The sequence below is a fragment of the Homo sapiens genome, chromosome 5 (assembly GCF_000001405.40).
Source record: "Homo sapiens chromosome 5, GRCh38.p14 Primary Assembly".
NCBI classification, from domain to species: Eukaryota; Metazoa; Chordata; class Mammalia; order Primates; family Hominidae; genus Homo; species Homo sapiens.
In genome coordinates, this window is record NC_000005.10 from 40,305,407 (window position 1) to 40,328,720 (window position 23,314).

At 37.1% G+C, this 23,314-nt stretch overlaps 1 long non-coding RNA gene across 4 annotated transcripts; it reads right to left on the reverse strand.

The window, feature by feature from the left end:
- Nucleotides 1–1,366: 1,366 nt before the first annotated feature.
- LOC105374736 (uncharacterized) lies at nucleotides 1,367–22,231 on the reverse strand. Of its 4 annotated transcripts, none has more exons than XR_001742649.2 (4): nucleotides 22,042–22,231; nucleotides 7,462–7,586; nucleotides 3,578–3,666; nucleotides 1,367–3,219 (listed from the first exon to the last, which is right to left on the reverse strand). It is a non-coding gene; the product is annotated as an uncharacterized LOC105374736 (long non-coding RNA). The 4 variants fall into 4 exon arrangements; XR_007058741.1 differs by lacking the exon at nucleotides 22,042–22,231 and adding an exon at nucleotides 12,795–12,866; XR_007058742.1 differs by lacking the exon at nucleotides 22,042–22,231 and adding an exon at nucleotides 8,890–8,954.
- Nucleotides 22,232–23,314: the final 1,083 nt, after the last annotated feature.

The following is a 23,314-nucleotide window of genomic DNA, read 5'->3' on the forward strand; positions in this document are numbered from 1 at the left end:
TGTAAGAATTAAATGAGATTATGCGTGTTCACTTGTTAACCCAGTGCCCAGCACATAGTAAGTATACAATGAATGTTGCCATTATTGTTGTTATCACTTTGTGGGTTTTTTTTTTTTTTTTTGAGTTGGAGTCTTACTCTGTTGCCCAGGCTGGAGCACAGTGGCATGATCTCAGCTCACTGCGACCTCTGCCTTCCAGGTTCAAGCAATCCTCCTGCTTCAGCCTCCCAAGTAGGTGGGACTACAGGTGCAAGCCATCACACCCAGCTAATTTTTGTATTTTTAGTAGAAACGGGGTTTCATCATGTTGGCCAGGCTGGTCTCAAACTCCTGACCTCAGGTGATCCGCCCACCTCGGCCTCCCAAAGTGCTGGGATTACAGGCATGAGCCACCATGCCCAGCTTGTTGTTGTTATCACTTTGGACCACAAGAAAATGTTGGAACCCAATACAGGTTTCCAAATCATTCAAGATGGTTGAAGTGATGAGAGTGGTTGAGATGGCCTAGAGAGAGAACACAGAGCAACAAAAGGCCAAAAGAGAGACCTTGAGTAAATGCCAAAAGAATGAAAAGGGATAGGAAAAAAATACAAAGTATTGATAAGATGATTAGAAAAAGGCTAGGGAAGTTTGACATTAACAAACAAGATTTTATTCTTTTCTATTCATTTATTAATTTAAAATAAACCCATTCTTTAGGTTTTAAGTCTTAAAATGTCTGGGAGGCAATATCACTACACAGAGCCAAAGAGCATTTATTGTATTCTGTAGAAATTATCTGTTTTGGCTTGAAACCACTCTTACCAGGTTCAAGATTCTTTTCTCTTCATTATATCAGAGAATAGCTTCCTTGGTACTTAGTTGATCTAAAAATGACACATTTATGGAGGAAAGAAATGGGTGAGTTTTTCACTAAATGGGGTAATGCCCTACATAAACCCCAGGATCTTTTTTTTATCAAGGAATTTTCTGCAGAAAATCAAATGATTTTGAGTGGATGACATTTTTTTATGAATTGAATAACAGCAACAAGAAGCAGCCTGCTAAGTTTGTTTCTTATCTGATTCAATGGATTGTATTTTCATTCCTAATTGCTCTTTATTAGCTCTGACATTTCTAGGTTTCGGGAAAACAAAAAAAATGCGTATTTACTTATGGTATTGTCTACTTTTCTCCTAAGGAAAATAAATGATGGTTCAAAAGCAATCCCTGAGAAATTCATCTCCAAGGGTAGATATCCTACCAAGTGACCATGCCCTCTGTAACCACGGCATATTGGGGATCATCTGGAAATTAAGAACACACACAAAAAAGATTCCTTACATTGCTTGCTTCCAGCTGGTAAACAAACAATTAAGCCTCAGAATCAGAACACATATTCTTTAATTAGATAGGAAAATAACAGTTGGATTATGTTATGACATTTGCTATTAATAAATAACAGTTCTCATAATTTTACAAAGAGTGGATATGACAATTCTAATTATTTTACCACATTGAAAGCGCTGTATCAGAGTCCCATGGGTAGCCAGTCATCTATTTATCATGAATAATTCAGAGAACTATGGCTATAATTCTGATTCAATGCTGATTGAAAATTTAGAGTTGTTAGACAAGATTTCTACAGACTGTTCTCTTGAGTGCTATTTCTGGAATTTGTATCTTTGCATATGCAAATTCTAGAAAGAATGTAAGCAATGAGATGGTTTTGCATTCATTAGTAAAGAACTTTCAGTTTTATCAGAGTCCACATCAACAAATACAACCTGTGTGGAACAGGACATGAAGATCATGTTCAGTTAATATTTGCTGTGCTAATTTTAAAAAATTATCATTATGAACATCTATACAATACCATCTGTCTAATAATATTATACACAGTGGGGGAAAATTCCCTTTTGGACCTTGCCAGTATTTTATAGAGCAACGGCAAGAGTCACAGTTGTTCTGGAAAATATTTCCAAGTCATAGTGACCAGAATTACAAGCTTTGGTTTGGAAGTTGCAACTACTATTTCTCTAAGTTTTCATTTACTTCTCTTTTTTTTTTTTTTTTTTTTGAGACATGGTCTTCCTCTGTCACCCAGGCTGGAGTGCAGTAGGATGATTATGGCTCACTTCAGCCTCAACATCTGGAGCTCAAGTGATCCTCCCACCTCAGCCTCCTGTGTAGCTGAGACTACAGGTGCGCATCACCACACTTGGTTAATTTTTTACTTTTTGTAGAGACAGGGTCTAGCTATGTTGCCACGCTAGTCTCAAACTCCTGGACCCAAGCGATCCTACTGCCTCAGCCTTCCAAAGTGCTGGGAGTACAAGGCATTAGCCACAGCACCCAGCTCTCATTTACTTCAATTACAGATCACTTTATTATCTAAATCACTTTTATCTATTATAGTCTCATATATAATCTGGAATAATTTACAAGTGTCAAACACCACATTTCAGTATTCAGCATGCAAGTCTATTTCATGACCAATTACTTAAATAAATAAACAAAGAAAGAAAGAAAGAAATGGATATAAATAATAATGAAGTGCATGGAATGATAGACAAGAGTTTACCTCCAAAGTTACAATAACCTGTTTGGACATATCCTGTGCAAATCCCTTTCCACTCAGACACATTCTGAGAGGCACTAAGTGAATTCAGAGAGGATAGAGAATGAAAAAAATTACTCATTTCAGAATTTGCTTATCTTTGACACAATCAACATATCTGATAGCCTGTTACAGACAAGGTACTAAAGGCAAGGCTGAGAGCATGGTCTCTGCCTTCCAGAGGCCCAGAGTCTAGACCAGTTAAATTCATGGAACTATACTCTCCAAATAAATCTACAGTTTACATGGTCTTTTATTTCACCAGCAGGCAAATTTTTGTCCCTGGGCAGCTTCCTAGAACTATTTATAGCCTGAGAACCAATTTATTTCTTCTTAGTAGATTTCTGTTCTCCTTTGAAATCTCAGCAGTACAAACCTGATTAGCAGGGAGGCCAGGTCCAAGTATTAATGAGATAATTATGATTGTTTTCTTATACCAGGCAACCAGCGACTTCTGGCGAGGACCAGTAGGATGAAAAGCAGGAGGTCAAGGGTAAAATGCTGGTTTCCAGAATTACTTGGGCTCTTTTATATCTTCCTTGAAGAAGCAAAATCCAATCATGAAGATCACAAAGACAATAGCACACAGCAGTGGGATGAAGAGCAATGAGTACAGAGCCCTGAGAAGGAAAAAGGACTTGTTAGAAGTTTGTCTGTGGCCTGGCATCCAAGGTTTATGAAACTTTTTTATGCATACACCCTGGCAAATATCTTCTATAACTACAGTGTGTTTAAAAAGAATTTTTTTCCTCACTGGGCATGTTGAGAGGTCACAAAATTCATCATGCTACCACTCAGAAATACATAGAAAATTTAATTTCTTAATTTTCTTTAAATATCTTTCACTTAAGCCCAAGACATTGGTTAGTGGAAGAAAGAGACAAAATGTTCCATTTAGTTTAATGTTTATTGAATCCATTAATTTATATACCTTTCCCTAAAATTGTGAGTGGATGGCACAAGAAGTGAATAGCTTACCTTTCCCTGTGGTGTGAGTCCTCAGGAATGTTCTGGTGCCTATAAGTACCCAGCACCATGCCCTTTGTTCCCCTAGGCAGTAGGCAGTGCTAGAGTTAGCATAAGAAAAAGGCAAAATTGAATGGCTATGGAGAAGTGTTCCAGATAAAGGCAGGCCAAATGAAAGGGCAAGAAGGCAAATGGCAACATGACATATTCAGGGCAACTGCAGATGATTCAATAGAAATGGATGGTAGAAGCTTATATGAGAATGTCAGAATAAATCTGGAAGTGCAAGCAAGGCCTGGAGCCAACGTTTTATCCTGTACATACATGACAGGTATGTATTTTGAACATATCACTCAATGTCTACCCCCAGGCCCCTGTAAACTTGTCTTTACATAATTATCATTTAAAGTTTTTGACTGTCACCAAGGGCTAAGGTAAAAAAATCAAAATAAAAACACTGAACGTGTAATCTGTAAGAATTTTTAGTAAAAAGAAAAAAGGCTTTGAGTAGATAATTTTGTGTGCTTGACTACATTTATAGATATGGTTACCAACCTGCAGGTTGAGGTTCATAATATTATTCAATGCTGTCATAATACATAAAGACATCATAATATATTCACCTCTAATCAAAGGACCAGGAAAAGGTTTGGGTTTTGTTTAATGAGCTAAAATAGGTACATCTTGTAGTTAGACAATAAGAACTACATCATCATCTAGTTTCCCTCTTGCCTGGGCTACTGAGAATCTGAGTATTAAGTTTAAGTTTAATGATGATACTATTCTTAGTCTGAGATTTGTTTTATTTTTGCTTCTCTTCTAGATGTCTGTCCTTCCCAACATTATTACTTTAACTTTTATTCTATGTTACTTGTCTCATCCATGTGCTCTCTATGAGCCATTTTAGACTTCCTCAAAAACTAGCGATTCCTGTGCTACTAGAGATCATAGAATCCTGCCCACTTACTAAGGGGCTTCTTGAGTTCTCAAGCTATATAAATATTTTGGCGGGATCATTTTTTTTCCTCAAAAGCAACATCAAATCTCCAGCTGCTGGGAAATGGTGCTTTTTCCCTATTATTGGAATCAATGAGTCAAGGCATATGTCTTTAATGGAAGTTTTGGCAAGCATGGTATTAGAGTTAATATTAGATTCAACTGAAGTAAACTGAATGGTTTGTTTTCTGCTCTGCAAGCACAAATCAATGGTTTTAATCAAACACTGCAGTTTATATCATGGTAGAAATATTTACACAAAGAGAAGCACTGATAGATGCACAGCACTTAAGACAAATGTAAGTTTTTAGAAGTCTCGGGAGCATAGATTACAGGAAAGGTAAGACACACACACGAAAAATCTCCCCAGCCAAAAACAGTATATAAACCTATGTTAGGAAATTGTGCTTCCCCTCAAAGAGTCTAGTTCAGTTAGCATCTTCTTGTTGCATGCAAAAAAAGATTTACTGTAGTTATCCCCAGAAATATGGGGGAGGGCAAGATGGTATACAGTGAATACAAATGCCATGGAATACAGGAAAAGTCAGACAACTCGAGTGGGATCCACAGCAGAGCCATGCTACAGAATTTCTACCTACAGGCTGAATTTCAAATCTGTAAATGTAGCCAAACAAATAATAAATACTTCACTGATATTGCATTACAATGTACAATAAAGTATTATCTATGTTTCCGGACTTTATGGCTGCCCTGTAGTGATATGCCATTAATATTTCTGCTTGGCATTTTCTGTCCCATCACTATTTTCTTATTTTTTTTTCTTTTTACCTTCATATATTTTCTTCTTTCTTCTTTAATATTTTCTACTTTTGTCCAACTCCAGCTTGGCCTTGACTTATGACCCCAAGCATATATTGTGAATGCTCCCTATATGTCCTTTGACGTACCTCCAATTTCTCTCTGCATTTCCTAATTTGGTTTATATGAAAAAAGTATGATTGGCCTGTACATTTTTTTGTACCAGGACACATTGTAGATAATTGGCTCATCTCTGGATTTGGGTAGGGAAGACTATGGGGTCACACAGTATACCTGCCCTGTAAGCTGTGAACAAAGAATTTTCACTTAGGAGGGACACAGGGCCTGGTACCAACACTGCTGGGACTAACATACAGTCCTCTACTTCACTCATGTAATAAGAAAGGGTCCAGTTCTCCTAACATGCTCCCTCTTAAGAAAAAGAAAAAGTAAAATTTCATCTTCTGAGTTTTAGGTGGATTTTCCTAATACTCAACATTGGCTTCTGGAGTGACTACATAAAGCCTAATCAAAATATAATTAATATTCAATAACGTAAAGCACATGTCTCTAATGAGAACAAGTTACCACCCTTAAAAAAGTTTCATATGCATTCCAAAAATAAATAGAAATGAATTTCTGATTATTGGGTGGTATTCTCTATCCTCATCACTCTTCCTTTGAGTGGCATACTCTCCTGCTGTAATTGATACCTCCAAAGGCATTATTACTCAACTCCTAATGCTTCACTTGCATATCTTGCATCTTGCAGGTTTCAAGAATTTGTGGAACAACACATCTTTGCTTCAAAGTACTGAAGAGGTTAAAGTTGCATGAACTTAATAAATGTGAATTAATATAATACAATATTATAAATAGACTTAGAGCTCATTGAAAGCAGGGACTATGTCTCTCTTATTCACTGCTCTGCCCCAGACACTAGTGCGATATGTGATACATAGTATGCGTTCAATATATTTTTCAAAATAAATAATCAATCAATTAATTCATGACTACCATATCTACTTGCCCACAACTTCTAAACAATGGGAAGCATGGAGATGAGAGTCTGGTGAGGGCCATTTTTGTAAATATCAAAGAGTACCTCTAGGTTCTACAGAATAACTTAGTAGAATATTAAACGAGAAGTGGAATAGGTTTAAATGCAGGTCTTCTAATTAAAAATGAGTTCCTAGATAAAAGCAAGAGTAAAACAAAAACTTGCAGAGGTACTTAATTATTCTTAGCCTCTCTGTCTCTCTCTGTCTCTCTCTCTGAAGGTAACTTCTACCAGCCAAAGCTTAATGTTTACTGTTTGGTCTTCTTAGAAGAAAAGATTCTTTAAAACAGCCATGAAACCCCTCATCAGGCCAGGGCAAGATCTATCCTCCAGCAGGAGTTAGAGTCTCATTGCCCATCTTGGAGCTGAGTTTGAAGGAAAAGTCCCTGCTCTGGGGTACCTCTCTCATCTCACTTGGTCAACACAGAGTTATTAGATTACTAAGCTCATATTCTCTCTCCAAATAGAAGTAACAAAAGGCAGAAAACCAACAGAATGTTATACGTTACTCATTTTCAACTTAGTGTGAATAATTTGGCAGAACTTGATAAGGGCAAAAGCATGATTTTGCTACTGATGAGAAATATTTACGTATGCTTTCATCACACAGCTGAGCACCCAAATGAGAGGCATTGTTCTGAACAATGCCACTGCCTTTCTCCTGAAAGCCTGTTGTCATTAACTGAAATCAGAGAAAGGGGCTGATTTCACCAACCTGAATCACTCACTTGATGGCCAAAGTTCTAGAAGTTTGTGCTCTGGGGCCCTGAGACTGGATTCTTTCTGCCTCTGATTTGGCAACTGATGCCCACTCATTTGTTAAGGATTAGAGGAACTCTTGAGTCTCTTCTTTTAAAATAAAAGCCAACTTTGCCATTTTGTTCTTTCACAAAGAACAATCTCTTTGCTGAATGAAAAAAAAATTGTAATTCTTCTAGCTGTTGAGCCATGATCTCTGCTAAGGGGTAAGAAGATCACAATATTCCCTTTCATGAAGTGTGTTAATGGTGTCCTCCCTCTGTAAAGGCCTGAATGTATAGTTTCTGCCTGGTTTAATGTATCATTTTTGAACAATATGTACCTGAGCCACTAAGGACCAATGAGTAGGGGCTGGCAGGTGGCCCTCAACCCTTCCTCTTGATACCTTTAATCCTCCTCCTTCAGCCAGAGAAGCTCTGCTTTACTTCTGTTTCATATGTTGAATTTCTGCAAAAGAAGTCATTTGACAAAATGATTTGGAGGTTTGGAAAAGATGGAAAACCAGCATGATGGGGAATGAACACTGAACGTAGAAAATCTGGATTCTAGTCCTGCTACTAGCCCCAGTTAGCTAGTAGACATTGAGAAATAACTTCAACTTTGTAGTGTCTGACTCCTCCTCTGTTAAAATGAGGCATCAAATGGGGGAACTCAAGCCAGGCCATACAGTGTTTTAGAGGTTCCTGAGAGGTCCTTAGGGTTTACTCTGAAAAGGAAGGTTGGAGGCTCCATTTCCTCAACCACTGCAAACAGCACAACTCTATTATATAGATACATAGAGAGAAATTTTATATAAAATTTAGTTTGAGAAAAGCTTTAAAAAATTGAAAAGCACTCAATTCTATATGAAAAACCTCTTTCATTCTAATAGTCAATTGCTCCATAATTCCTACTTTCCACTGGTTAAAAAAACAAAACAAAATACTTTTTAGTGACTTTCTTATTCATAGTATTATGCTATTTGTTGGTGCTGATGACCTAGATGACACAATAATATAACACACACACATATATGTATGTATGTATGTATGTATGTATATACAGATGTTCCTTGACTTACAATGGGTTACATTTTGATAAACCCATCATAAATTAAAAATATTGTAAGTGGAAAATGCATTTAATACACCCGGTCTATCAAACATCGTAGCTTAGCCTAGCCTACCTCAAATGTGCTCAGAATGCTTAATTAGCCTACGGTTGAGCAAAATCATGTAATGCAATGCCAATTTTGTAATAAAGTGTTGAAAATCTCATGTAATTTATTGAATACTCTACAGAAAGTGAAAAATAGAAGGGTTGTTTGGGTACCTGAAGTACTGTTTCTACTAAGTGTGTATCACTTTTGCACTACCGCAAAGTCAAAAAATCACAAGTCAAACTATTCACAAGTCAAGGACAGTCCGTATAAAACAGTATTTTTCTAAGTACTCAGAATATATATATATAATTACATATATGTGCAAATTTGTGTATATATACACAATTTGTAATTTCATACATATTTAAGTATATATTGGTTAGTATTAACATTCTCTATATTGTCTTCCTTGAAATACTTTTCTAGGAGATATTAGTGAGTATGCATGAAAAAAATGCCATATTCAAATGAGTTTAACAGATTATGCATATTTAATCTCCCTGTAGGTAATTCATAATATACATGTGCATGTTTAAGGCATCTCGTTGAGAAGAACTTCAATGGAAAAAATCTATTTGATCTGGTTTAACTTAGAGTTCCCAAACTTACCTAAGTGAAGCATTCTTTATCAACATTCTATTGAAATTGCACGAACCATGATTATGAAGCAAACTGGAAAACAATAACGTAGTATTTGTCCAGTGTGATGGACTGCATATTTGTGTTACCCTAAAATTCATGTATTGACTGAAGCCCTAACTCTCAGTATGATGGTATTTGGGGTGGAGCCTTTGGGAAGTAATTAGGTTTGAATGACATCATGAGGGTGGTGCCCTGATGATGGGATTAATGTCCTTATAAGAGGAAGAAGAGGCATTAAAGAGTTTTTTCTCTCTCTCACTCTCTTTCTCTCTCTCTTCACTGGCACAAAGAGGAGGTCATGTGAACCACAGTGCCTTCTGCAAGTGGCCATCTGCAAGCCAGGAAGAGGGCCCTCACCAAGAGCCAAATCCAGCACCTGAAACTTGGACTTCCCAGTGCCCAGAACTGTTAGAAATAAACATCTGTGCTTCAAGCCACCCAGTTTATAGTATATTGTTATGGCAGTCCAAGCAGGCTATAATATCCAGGTAAGAAAATTATGACTAGTGAATTGATTTGGCCACGGTTACAAAAACTACTGACACAAATAGCATTCTAAATTTCTACCTGAAAATCGATTTGAAAAGTCCAGTCAAGATGGTGAATGAACTTCATACTCTGACATCTAATTTTTATCCAAAATAATATTATTGAGAACTCTAAAAAATAAAATTCAACAATATACGTAGGGTTAAAAACAAAAACATCATTATGGACTATAATTGGAACAGAAACACAAAGCAGGGAACATGGCTAAATCCCACGGCCTGCAGGATCTATGATTAGGAAACAGGCAGGAGTGATGGCAAGTAAGGGAGATTGAAAATTCTATGCTAGACAAGGGACAGGATCCAGTCTCACTGCTTGAAGCCAGATGCTGGGATGGAGGTAGTTTCCCCTCCCCATTGCTCTTAGGAAAAGGCTAATAAAACTGCTTTCATCCTAGACCCAAGACCTTATACACTGTGGAATCAGCAAAGCTGGTTTACAAAGCATCACCCCACACTCAGGAACTGGCTGTCAGACTGTTATTATTTCCAGCATCACAACAAAGGAGGGGCCACAACACATCAAAACATCTGTTTCCAGACTAGAGATCCAGAGGGCTAGATGAAGGCAACAAAGAATACCACTGGACGAAGAGGAGATGAGCACAAAGGAGAAAAGACAGAAAATAAAATCATCCCACTCTGGAGGGAGACTGCATACCATGGGAGGAAAATGAGTGCTAAGTACGGCGGCCAAAAAAATCACAATGGGGATAATAATCCCCTTTGAGTGAGTAATATTCAAATAATATTCTGCCTAAAAATTTATAAAAATAATTTGGAATATCCAGAGAGATTAAAAAAGAGAAAATTTCTTTAAAGGGAATAATAAATTATGATAGAAAAATAGGAAAATAAGAATGAGTACATAAAAAACAATTGAAACTTCTTAAAAATAATGAAACACACACAAACAAAATTTAGATGAACCCAGGATTTGACAAAGAAGGAATTAATGAATAAAAAGATAGCACTCAGAAATTTCTTAAGATGCAGCCCAGAGTGACAAAGATGAAAATTTTGAAAGAGCATCTAGGACACAGGGTGTGAAATAAGAGACCCCAATGTCTGTCTGAAGGGATGCGGAAAGAAGAATGTCAAAAGAATGACAAAGGAAAAGTAGTGAAAATCATTTTACTTCTGCTCAAAATCCTTCACAACTTTCTGTATCACTCAGAGTGACATCTATTGTCCTGAAAATGCTGTGCAAAGCCTGTGAGCTCCCACACCCACTCTCACCTTCCAGCTTTCTGACCTCACCTTCTCCTGATTTTTGCTTTGCTCTCTGTTTCCAGTCACACTGTCCTCATTTCTTTTCTCCGAACTTTCCAGGCATGCCCCAGTACCAGAAATTTCACATTGGCTGTTCCCTCTGCCTGGAACTCTCCTCCTCCAGAATGCCATGTGCCTTACTCACTCACCTGTTTCAATTCTTTGCCCACATGTCATCTTCCTCAGAGGACCCTCCCCAACCACCTGTTTAAACTTGCATCTCCAGCCCCTCCCCACCGTCTTTTTTCCCTGCATTACTCTTCCCCTTAGAACTCAGTGCTATCTCACATACTATATGCTTCATACATTTACTTATGTCTGTCTCCCCACACTGGGCTTTAAACCCCTGAGAACAGAAGTGTTTTGTTTGTATTTACTTTTGTACTTCCACTGCCTGACACATTGTAGGTACCCTGTACCTAATTATTGATAGAATCCATAAATGACCCCTAGCATATGAGAAACACTCAATAAAGGTTAGTGCTGTGATAAAGCTCTACACATTAATAAAGGTTAGGTATTGCAACTTAGCCACACCCTTTCAATTATCAATAATTCCCTACTTAGACTGTTCTGCTAATCACTCTACTCCAGAAGAGTCAGTCACATTATTTTAATAATGGCAACCATCTGCGACATTTCTTATTTTACTTTAGCGTCAATTCCAAAGTGGGGAAATTATCTCCATCTTATTGTGATTATGAGACTGAGATATGGCAAAATTAATTTCCCCAGATTCATATACCCAGAGAATAGTAGAGAACATTTGGAACCTCAGACTGTTCACCTCCAGAGACTCTGCTGCCCTCTGCACTAGTGAATTGATCTGCTTGCTTCTCTGGCATTAGAATCCTCCATAACCACCATCTCTGCTCCATGCTGCCTCTTGTTTTGATAATCATCTTCCACAGTGACTCTAGCGAACACTGTTGCCATTCCTCCTCACTAAACCTTGCTTATCTGGATATCTCTCTCTTCTAAAGATAAATCTGGGCATCCCAAGGTCCAAGGGTAAATCTGGATTTATTTAAGCAAATCAGAAAGCTAAGGTGACATCATCAAAATTGGCAGAATAGGGAATTCTTAAGACTTTGTCATGTCGAGAAACCAAGTAATACACTGGCAAAGACTGTCGGAATCTGAGCCAATCATGGCAATCCATTCTCCTTGCCAGTGATTGGCTTAGGAATAGACATTTGATACAATTCCAGCCAATCAGACATGAGTTACCTGGAGTACTTCTGATGATAGTTCTCCACTCCTGAGTGGGAAAAACAGGAGGAATGGACTCTCCTTCCTCCAGACATGTTCATATTTAAATAAGATGCCTGAACTACTACCACCATCTTTTAAGCAACCCAAATATGAAATTAACACATGGAAGAGAACAGAACCAATAAAATCTCAGAGAAGTTAGAGACATTGTATACCAAGCTTAATGCCTGCATTACCCATGAAAGTTATGTGAAACTTATTAAAAGTGTATGGATGATATAAGAAAAGTTGAGTTGATTTTCTGTAGCTCTAACTGAAAACATCCTAATAATACATATCACCCCCTTTTCACCTGAGAAGTAGCCCAACCTCCAAAAATCACTTAAATGGATGTATCTTTATCTCTACTATTTGAACATTGACAAAAATTTGAAGCTCATAGTTTCTGAGATTGGATTGGTTACAGACCTGCCACTAAAATAACTTAAGGGGGAACTTTAGATTTTTCTCACAGAGCAGTTGAAAGTAGGGGTGGAAGAGTTCAGGTCAAAAATCAAGCTCTAGTTTTGTCATGGAGGGTGACATATAAAGTGGTCCATTGAGGCATAAAGAAGTTGAGTGATTTGGCCAAGCTCACCATGTTAGTTGATAGGCAAAGTGAGACCACAAGACAAGTTCCTCACCTTCTGTTACAAGACATTGCCCATGCCCAGGTTAAACCTAGCTGTATTCAGTGACATATAAAGCAATGCATTGAGGCACAAAGAAGTTAAGTGATTTGGCCAAGCTCACCATGTTAGTTGATGGCAAACTGAGACTATAAGACAAATTCCTCACCTTCCGTTGCAAGGCATTGTCCATGCCCATGTCAAACCTAGCTGTATTCATACTCCCAGATGCATTATGTAACTGAAAGAAGGGCAGAAAAAAGTTCAAAGATTTAACGGAATTCAATTATACCTGGAAGATAAATATTTTGCCTCCCAATGATTATTCTAGCAATGCAGAAACAAACTACCATTTAGAAATACGATTCTACAGATCTATTGACCCCTTGGTTGCATCTCTCTGTCAGGAGAACAATTAAACTACAACATCCACCCTCTTTGTCAAGAACATTTTGGAAAACCTAAGCCTGTTTCACTTCTTGCATCTTATTTGGCAAATGATTTCTTTTGACCTCATTACAGGAAAACAATTGTCCTTTGACATGCAAGTATAGTTCTCATAAGCCTGGCTCCTTTCTGACCTCTGAAGTCATTCTTGGGAGGATGTTTATTTATGCTTATATCAGAATTGTTTCAGAGCCTTAGGTCTGCTTTAAATGAATACATAAATATATAGATGTTTTTTAAATCATTGGAGGTAGAAAATGCCTTAAGTTGAAACTGTCTAATATTACAGCTAAAAATGCACACTCAGGGACTAGATCTACTGGCTTAAAATCTCAGCTTTACCATTTTCTAGCTGTATGATCTTGGACAAGTTATTTAATTTTTCTGCACCTTAATCTGCTCATTTTTAAAACCAAAACCTTTTACAATAGTACCTAACTACTTATGATGTGGACTAAATTACACCAAACTGTCTGTTAAAAATGTGTTAAATAATACTCATTTGTCATGTGGATTAAATGAGTTAATATATGTGAAGTTTCTAGAACTCGGCCTGGCACATGGTAGTCACTATACAAGTATTATCTATTATTATTATTATTTAGCACATTAGTGGCAGATACAACCAGCAAAGCAAACTGAGTGCTTGCTATATTGCAGGCACAGAGTTAGATGTCTCAAGTGCAATTGTTCATAGAGTGGAAATGCATAGTTCTTGCCCTCTTGCTTCACTCTGGGGATAAGTACCATAAACAGACAATTGCAAGGCAAAGTAATCAGTGCTGGGATGGAGGTAGTACAGAATGCCATGCTAAATGTGGGAAAGGAAAAGTGAGAAAAGGGAGGAAACATTACCTAAGCTGCAAGAAGCCTTTTTGAAGGGAGAGACTCCTCAGCTAGGACATGAAGTAAGGGCAGAAGTTAACTAAGCAAACAATTGAGGATGAAAGTGCCACAGGGAGAGAGAAGAGTGTGGTTTTTTTAGCCCAATAATAAAATAAAACAGCTCTCCTGCTGGTTCCACCCTCATCAATGAACACACTGAAAATGTCTTAGTTGTGTGCTGTTGCCCAGGTATAGGAGGAAGATGTGGTTTATTCCCTTCTTTTTGCCATGTTAACACATACCCAAATAAGATTCAGTCAACTATTGACAGTGGTTTACAGTGTACATTTCAACTATAGAGAGCTTGGGAAAGGGGTGAAATCAAGAAGGACTTTTCATAACAGTCTAATTCCTCCCACTGGTTGGAGACCCACTGCCCAGCCCTTCTGTGGCACCCCATGTGAATGCTTTCTAGTTAGTTGAGAATATTCCACACACACACCCATATTTCATCCTACTAACTCCTTTCCCCAATGCCCCACTTCTTTTAGCATCCTCTTCTAGATCAAAATCCTTATACCTTCCCTTTTTTAAACACAGTTGGATTATTTACCTAGTGGGTAGCAAGCTCTAAGTTTTCCTGTTCCTTAGAAATTTTTCCAGCTTCCTGAGCTGTGGGTCACAGCTATTCTTTCTAACTCTCATTCTGCTATAGGATAGAGAAACAGAAAGTTTGAGTGGAAAGGGAAGAAAAGGGCATTGGGGTGGTCTTGTGCCAGTTTCCTGATAGTCTTTTCTTTGGCTGACTGAAAAATATAATAATAATAACAGGCCTGGCGCAGTGGCTCATGCCTGTAATCCCAGCACTTTGGGAGACTGAGGCAGGCAGATCACATGAGGTCAGGAGTTTGAGACCAGCCTGGGCAACACGGCAAAATGCTGTCTCTACTAAAAATACAAATATTAGCTGGTTGTGGTGGCACATGCCTGTAGTCCCAGCTGCTCAGGAGGCCAAGGTGGGAGGATGGCTTCAGCCTGGGAGGTGGAGGTTGCAGTGAGCCGAGATGACACCACGGCACACCAGCCTGGGCAATAGAGCCAGACCTTGTCTCAATAATAAAAACAGCAACAAACATAATAATAATCACAGACACTACACATTGAGAAAGTCAATTACCTTCTAACAGCTATCTCCAGTGCTATGCCTCATGTTCCCAGCTCTAAGAGCATAAGTTTCAGATATCAATTGGCTAAAGAGAATCTTATTTCCTTTCAAATTACATTACATTGTCCTCCTCCATGAATTTAACCTTAAGTGTGTTTTTCTCAGCTCATGGATATCTCCTGCTTCCATCCCATGAGTTGAACATACAAGAAATAAGAAAGTCTCATTCAATAAAAAGATATTTATCAAAAACACTAATAGCGATATTTAACAGTGTGATTTAGTTTTTATGGGTTTCATTTATTTTTTTAGACCTAACAACGTTTCCATAAGATTTTTACAATATAATAAGAAATACTATTTTTTTAAGTGGGGGGTAACTGGCTTCAAAAGACACTCGGAGAAAAAGTAAGGACTTCTACCTAAAGAGGGTAGGCACACATGTATCATTTCCCTCAGGCCTGATCATCTTGGATTTCTAAAAATGACATCAAATTATCTTTTCAAACCATAACTACATTCAAAATCAAGAAAAGGAACCTCCATGGACCAGAAACCATTAGGAATCCCTGGATGAGTGATAAGCAGAAAGAGGTCATCAAATCTAAGGAATAAAATCAGGCTAGTGGGGGAAAAAAATACCATGAGAAAATAGTATTGAAATCAAAATTAAAACATTTCAATAATATGAATAGCAGGGGAAAAAACACAGCTGAAGGTGGATTGGTGAGCTAGGAGTCTGAATTGATGAATTTCCCAGCAAATATTGTAAAGGAATTTTCCAGAATATATCATAAAGAGATAAAGAATTAGAAAGTATGAAAGAAAAGTCAAGAAACATGAAGGATTCAGAACGTCCAGTAGTCACCTCCTCAGAAAATCAAAAAGGAGAAACTAAGATTTTTAGAGAGGAAAATTGACAGAAAAAAAAAGTAATTCTGGTCATTCCTAGACTCCTTTTTAATAATGAAGGAATCATTTTTAGAATTACTTAGTCATACTTCAGTCAACTCATATTTATTCAGATTTAACAATGTGTCAAGCACTGTGCAAGGAGCTGACAATCTAATAAGAGTAAAAAAATCCTCTCCCTGGAAAATGCATACATTCACAGATCACAATTTTCTACATTATTTTAGGGGTTAAGAGTTCATGGATTCATAATCTTTTATATTTTTATTTGGAACAGTTCACCTGTTTTGACTTGGCAAAAACAAGACTATTTTTTCCCTATTGAATTACTGGATTGTTTGACAAAGGGTATCTTAGCAACTGATTGTTTGAAGACATGAAATCATACAGAGACTCAGTTTAGAATAAAACTGGAATTGGTAAACTCACACTCTCAGTGCTATCCTACAATAGTTATAGAATGGTCATACTCACATTCTGAGTGTTATCCCACAGGGGTTATGGAATGGTCATCTTTCATCAATTGAAGTAAATTGAAGTCTCTGAACAATTGTTAATTACATTAGTAACAAAAATCACTAGTTTTCTACTAATGGTTAGTAGACATCTCACAGAGAATCTCAGCTGCAAAGAAAGTCAGCAACCTGAAAAGAAGACAATCAATCTACAGGATTTTGAGTGAGGAAAAATTTTGTTGGCACCACCTAGGGAGACTAGGGGGGAAAAGCACTTGTCTGAGATAATATCTGTAAATAAAGAGTTAACTATTGAATTAACTTCCAGAAAATTAAGTGTATTTAAGAATATCACCAATTTATATTGGAACATTCATTGAGTTTTAGATCAGATACTTATTGGCACAGAGAAAAGCTAGAGAAAATTAGGAAAGAATCATTTAAAAACAGCATCAAATAGAAAAGACTGATTTGATAAGAACTAAAGATGGAAGAATGGCTTTATAGATAGGCAGACAACCAACTTAAAAAAGACAAAAAGACAGGTTGGTCAAAATACTGGATTTACTAATAATGTAAGGAAATAACATTACACAATGGAACATAAATTACATAATCTAAAACAGAATAAAAACTGACTCCACTTGTGCAAGATGTGAATATATAAGAGAAGAACTACAGTAGTCTTTCAAGGGACCAATACAATATCTATCTACATGCCTATGCCCTGGCTTCTATACCCCAGTGGTCATAAACATAATATTTTAAGATCTGTATTTTTACAGAGCTTTCTGATTATGACATACTGAGTGAAAGGTATGGCATTTTATTATCAGCTTCAGAGTACACCCTGGAGGCAACAATTATAATCTGTTAAATAATTGTGGGGTTTTTTTGAACAGAATCTCACTCTATTGCCCAGGCTGGAGTACAGTGGTATGGCCATAGTTCACTGCAGCCTCAAACTCCTGAGCTCAAGTGATCCTCCTGCCTTAGCCTCCCAAATAGTTGGGACCACTGAGGTGCCCCACCACACCTGGCTAACTTTCTTTATTTTTTGTGGAGATGAGGTCTTACTGTGTTGCCCAATTCAATTTCAAGCTCCTGACCTCCAGGCACCCTCCTACCTTGCCTTCAAATGCACTGGGATTACACGCATAAGTTAAATAATTTTAGATATCAGCCTGGCTTCTCTGAAGTTATATGAAGACAGTGAAGTTGTCAAAATAATACTATCTGATCTATATTTGTTGTTATTAATTTATACCTCTGTGCACTCTAGGAATTACTTTTACTTATTGTTTAGTTTTCTTCTTTCTCAGAGTTCTTAAACTTTTGTGGTTCTTTCTGGGCTCCTAACAAATTATTAAAACTTGTTACATATTGTATTAGTCCATTTTCACACTGCTATAAAGAAATACCCAAGACTGGGTAATTTACAAAGAAAAGAAGTTTAATTGACTCACAGTTCTGCATGGCCAGGGAGGCCTCAGGAGACTTACAATCATGGCTGAAGGAGAAGGGGAAGCAAGGCAAGTCTTACTTACATGGCAGCAGGAGAAAGAGAGCAAAGGGGGAAGTGCAACACTTTTAAACCTTCAGATCTTCTAAGAACTCACTATCATGAGAACAATATGGGGGAAATCCACCCCTGTGATCCAATCACCTCCCACCAAGTTCCTCCCCTGACGCATGGGAATTACAGTTCGACATGAGATTTGGGTGGGACACAGAGCCAAACCATACCTTATATGGTCTGACAAAGACATTGTTAAGAAGATACTAAATTACATTAAATCTGTAGTGGAAAGAGGTAACTCACAAAGCTGGCCATCAAAGGTCAGGGTCCTTTAAGTAAGTACTCGAGACATGCTGAGGTCTTCAGAGTCAAATGCCTGTAGTAATTGCAACTGGGTTTTTTTTTTTTTTGCAACCACTGACCAATCACACTTTTCTGCCCATTCTTTGCCTGACTTCTTTGTTTTATGCAACATTTAATAACCATTTATCTTCTTTCGCATTGCCACCAAAGTATTTAGCCAAAATAAGCAGTTGGGTGATTTTAATAAAACTCAAGAAACATATCAACTATAAGCTGACTGTCTTGTAGAGGTTAAACCAAATTTTGAAATCTGATAACGTTCATCACAGTTATATCTTGCTTTGAAATATAAGTTAATTGCTAAGACTTGGATTTTTAGAAACAACAAAATAAATCAGTTTTATTAGCAACTTATGATGAAGGAGATTCCTATTAGGAAAAGGCTAATGGATTATGAGACCCAGTAACAACTTTGCAGGGCTCAAATGCTATTAGAAGCCTCTCCTTCCTAGTATTTATTAATTTTGCAATGAAAGAAGGTTGGGGCCTTTTCTAAGTACCAAGAACACTAATTAAAACTAATCAATCAAATTCCTTACAAACCATGAAACGGCAGAATAAACAGGAAGAGCACAGCGTGGCTAAGAATGCAAAGATGAACAGGAAATAAAACCAAATGATCCCCTGCTGCTGTCTGGGCACATCTCTTGCACAAACGTTGTATTTAATTCTGAGGTGATTATCTTTGATATGCCTGCCATAGGTGAGGGCAGATAACACATGAAGGAGTGAGCAGTCTCTGTGTAGCTAGCTAAAGGAAGAAACAGGTCCTCAGAGAGAAAACCGGCACTAAGAAAGCCATATTGTAAGAAAGAGGTACAGTGTGGTCAATGAGCTCTGTGCTTGCAATCAGAAGATTTGTGTTCAAGTCTTGGCTTTGCATGTTCCTATTTGGATGACTTTGGGTAAAGCACTGAATTGCAGTTTCTCAACTGTGTAGCATGAGATAACAATGCTCACTTTGACCTCTCCATATGAATGTTATAATGATCAATTAATCTATATATTTAAATTAAGATTTTTCACGTATAAATTTTTCATTTTAATAATAAAATAGTAGCATACTGTTATCAATACTGGTAGCAGTAACTAGGAAAGAGCAGTATATCATAGGCCAAAAGTTAAGAGCAAGACCAAAGGAGCTGACATACTACAGAAGCACCGTAATATAGAAGAAGCAAATGGTACAGCAATTGAGAGCCTAGACTTTGAAACCAGCCTGTCTAGATTTGAATCCCGGCTCTGCAATGTAGTAGATATATGACTGTGGTCAAGTTACTTATGCTATCTGTGCTTCAGTTTCCAAATCTATAAAATTCAGATAATAGCGTTAACTTCATGAGTTTGAGTATATATACATATTAGTGTTCAACATGGTACCTGGCACATAGTATATATTATACAAGTGTTTTGCTGGTATTACAATGCTGGCAACACTAAGTTGTTTAACTCCCTCCTCATTGGAAACTGGACTGATCACAAACTCTAGGATTGGGTTTGTGACTCCAGATATGAAGAATTAGAGGCACCCCATGCAGGCATCTAAGCAGGTTATTGCATCAGAAAGCTACTCCACATTGACCACAGCTCGGATTTTAATTCATGTGAGAAATGGACAGAAAAAGTTAACTTTTCCACCGCATTACTACATTCTAATCATATATTTGCACATAAGAAAGCAAAATAATTTGTTTAGGAAACTAGATAAACCCTGGTCATTGTCTCTATTGACCAAGTGAAAAAACTATGTACAATCAGTTTTATCATCTCCACTAAGCTGGTTTTACCTATTTTCACATTTGGTATCAAAGTAAAGGTATACATTTTTCTTATACATTGTATACCAGTTGTACAAGGCCCTTGGTTTTCTTGTTTTGTTTTATGTTTAGTGGTTTCCATTTATGTAACATATTTCTATTGATAAAAGAAAAACTTCAGCTGAATTAATCTAAAGAAGTTTAATTGAGCAATGAGAGATTCTTGAATCGGGCAGCCTCCAAAATCACAGCAGATTCACAGAGACTCCAGGGGTGCCTCGTGGTCCTCATGGTCAGAACAAATTTATAGACAAAAAGGTGAAGTGACTTACAGGAATTGGAAGTGAGGTACAGAAACAGTGAGATTGGTTAAGCTTGACGTTTGCCTTATTTGAATGCAGTTTGAACATTCAGCAGTCTGTGAGTGGTTGAAGTATGGCCACTGGGATTGGCCAACACTCAGCCATTGTTACAGGTGCATAGTATTAAGTTAGGTTTTCAATTTTGTCTGACTATTAAGCTAGGTTACAGTTCATTCACAAGGACTCAAATAGAGAAGTATGGAGTCCTTCTCAGGCCATATTTAGTTTGCTTTAACAATTCCCCACTTTTGGTCATTTTCTCAATTTTGAGAAAATGACCAAAATCTTAGTCATTCATGTTACTATTACTATCGTAAATGTACTTATATGGTTTTGAAACTCACTGGGAAACAATAGAATAGTGTGTTTTGCAAGGAGAGAATAAGGACTGAGTAGAGGGTACCTCCTTATGCTGGAACAACCTGTCCACAGGAGAAAAACAAAACCCTATCTGTTCTAGGATCTATGTGTTTCTTAAAGCCTTAGTTTGGTTATGTCACATTTAGCACACGTGACTCCATTTTAGTTTGGTTTGGTTTGTTGGGGCCTAGTGCATAAGCTCAGTCCAAAATAATGGCCTCCCATAATTTCGTTTAAAAAAAAAAAAACTCCCCCTTTTCAGCCAGGTTCTCACTTCGGTGAGAGTGTGACCAAAACTTAGGGCCTCAGCACTACTCTCAGTTACCATCATTTTGGGTTTCTGGTCTCAGTATGTCATTCATAGTTTATGGTGTCCTCATGGTCACACATTTCTTTCAGCTTTTGTCATTCTAGTTGAAGAGAGACCATTTGATGTTCTAGAGATGGCTGCATGCAAATACTTAAAACCTTTAAGAGAATACAGCGCACCAGGGAGACTATTACTGTGACCATCAGGAGGATAATACCAAGAGTTTGGAGTATGTGCCTTATCCAGAGTCCCCATAAACCAAACCACATAAAATTAAATAGATTAAAGAATGAGCTAGATGAAGAATCTACTCATTTGACTAAGTGTCCTTTTTATTGAAACCCTACAAATGAATTTTTATAATCTACATTTGATGTATTTCTCCATAGGCCACTAGTGTCAGCATCTGCACAGGTACTTTTCTATTTAGCCAATTGTATTATTTAGCATAACTTTCACAAGAGGATTTAAAGTCTGTTGTGTAATGATAGCCTTTAAGGTAGAATTTGCTGTAGAGCATATTGTGAGGGTGACATTTCTAATTATTGTCTCTTTTATTCTAAATCATGGAAAAAGGACCTAACAAATGATGTCCTTCTAGAAGAGTGAAGGCCTCCTGGCACTGTTCTCTTTAATCCTTGATGTGGATTAAGAGGAGTTTTGACCCCCGAAGTTTCTCACCTACATTGGGCTTTCATCTTTTATCTATTAAAGTATAAGGTTATTCATGTATAAGACTGGCTGCAAATTCCTTCACAAATAAAATATGCCCTATAAGTTCAAATAATAGACACCCTTTTTATAGAGGCATAAACAAAGAAAAAATATTCAAAGATAAGAGTCTGATGATAATAGAAGTCTTGATCTGTGATCTCGGGAAAAGTTGTTGACATCAAGGATGCCATCTTTTTCTGGGGAGAAACATTCCTGGTTAGTTTTACCTTAAGGTTTCCAATGGGTGCACAGTTCCAGGAGTGTGGTGGGACCCTTCTCAGTTGTGAGATTATGAACCCAAAGTTCAAGTCTCCAAAGATTTGCTGTAGTGTGGATGGCAAGGACAGTCTTTCTCCGATGTTTTCAGAAAATCCAATCTTCCAGTTCTAGATTGTGAAGGGATTGTCCTCAATGAATTTTACCTGGCAAAAAAACACTGTAGCATAATAATCTACTGTTATAACATCAGCTTTCTTGCATGGGAAAGCTTTTATACAACCAGAAAGCATGCGTTGAAAATGACAATTGAATGAAATCCCTTTATAAATGTTTAAATGGCCCATCGGGTAGCGAAATGTACCCGAAGCTTTGATTGTCTTCCCAGGAATATGGAACTGAACATTGGTTTTAAACTATTTCTGCAATTTATAAGTCACCACATCAATATATTCAGTTTGGATTATTTTATCTTTTCCATGATGAGTCATGGAATGCAGAACCTTTAATAACAAAAGCTTTAAGGACTCAAAAAGGACAAGCGTGGCTGTCCTGGTTGTTCCAGAGTCTGTGCTTAACATTGAACTTATGTCCTCTTGAATAGCAGTTGTTTCTCCAATTTAGGTGCATAGCACTGATAACTAATGGGTTATCACAGGTAATTTGACTTAGACCATGGAGTTCATTCAAATTGTATATTTAAACAATTTTAATATTGGCTGATTAAGCATGATAATCTCAAGCTTGATTTTGAAAGGTTTGTTAAATACCAAAGTCTTAAAAACATTGGATATTACAAAATAGAATCTTAGGACCATAAGTCATTCATTAGGCAAAATGATAACTCAAAATTTTTTTTAAGTAAAAAACATTATTCTGAGAGACAGGAGTCTCAGCTTTCCAAACAAGACCCAATGAAGACAGCATAAAGCCAACTGACTCTCTTTTCTTTCCCTGCTCCCCTTTTTCTTTTATAGTTTACTTAAGAGGTAAACAAAAACCTTTTGTTATCTTTTAATATTACATAAAAATCCTTTTTAAAAGGCCAAATTTTATGTTTCCATTAGCGTATTTTTAATGTTAAAGCTAGTTTTTTAATAACTTTTTATAAATCTATTCAGTTTTAATTAGTTTAACCATAAGGTAAGATTTTTATAAATCTTTTATAGCCCTTTACAATTTTTTCTCAGAGCAGTACAATGTTCTATGAAAACTCTGTTGTGCTTCTCTATTCCAATGTCCAATTTATGAAAAAAAAATCCTGAATAATGCCATTTTAACTTT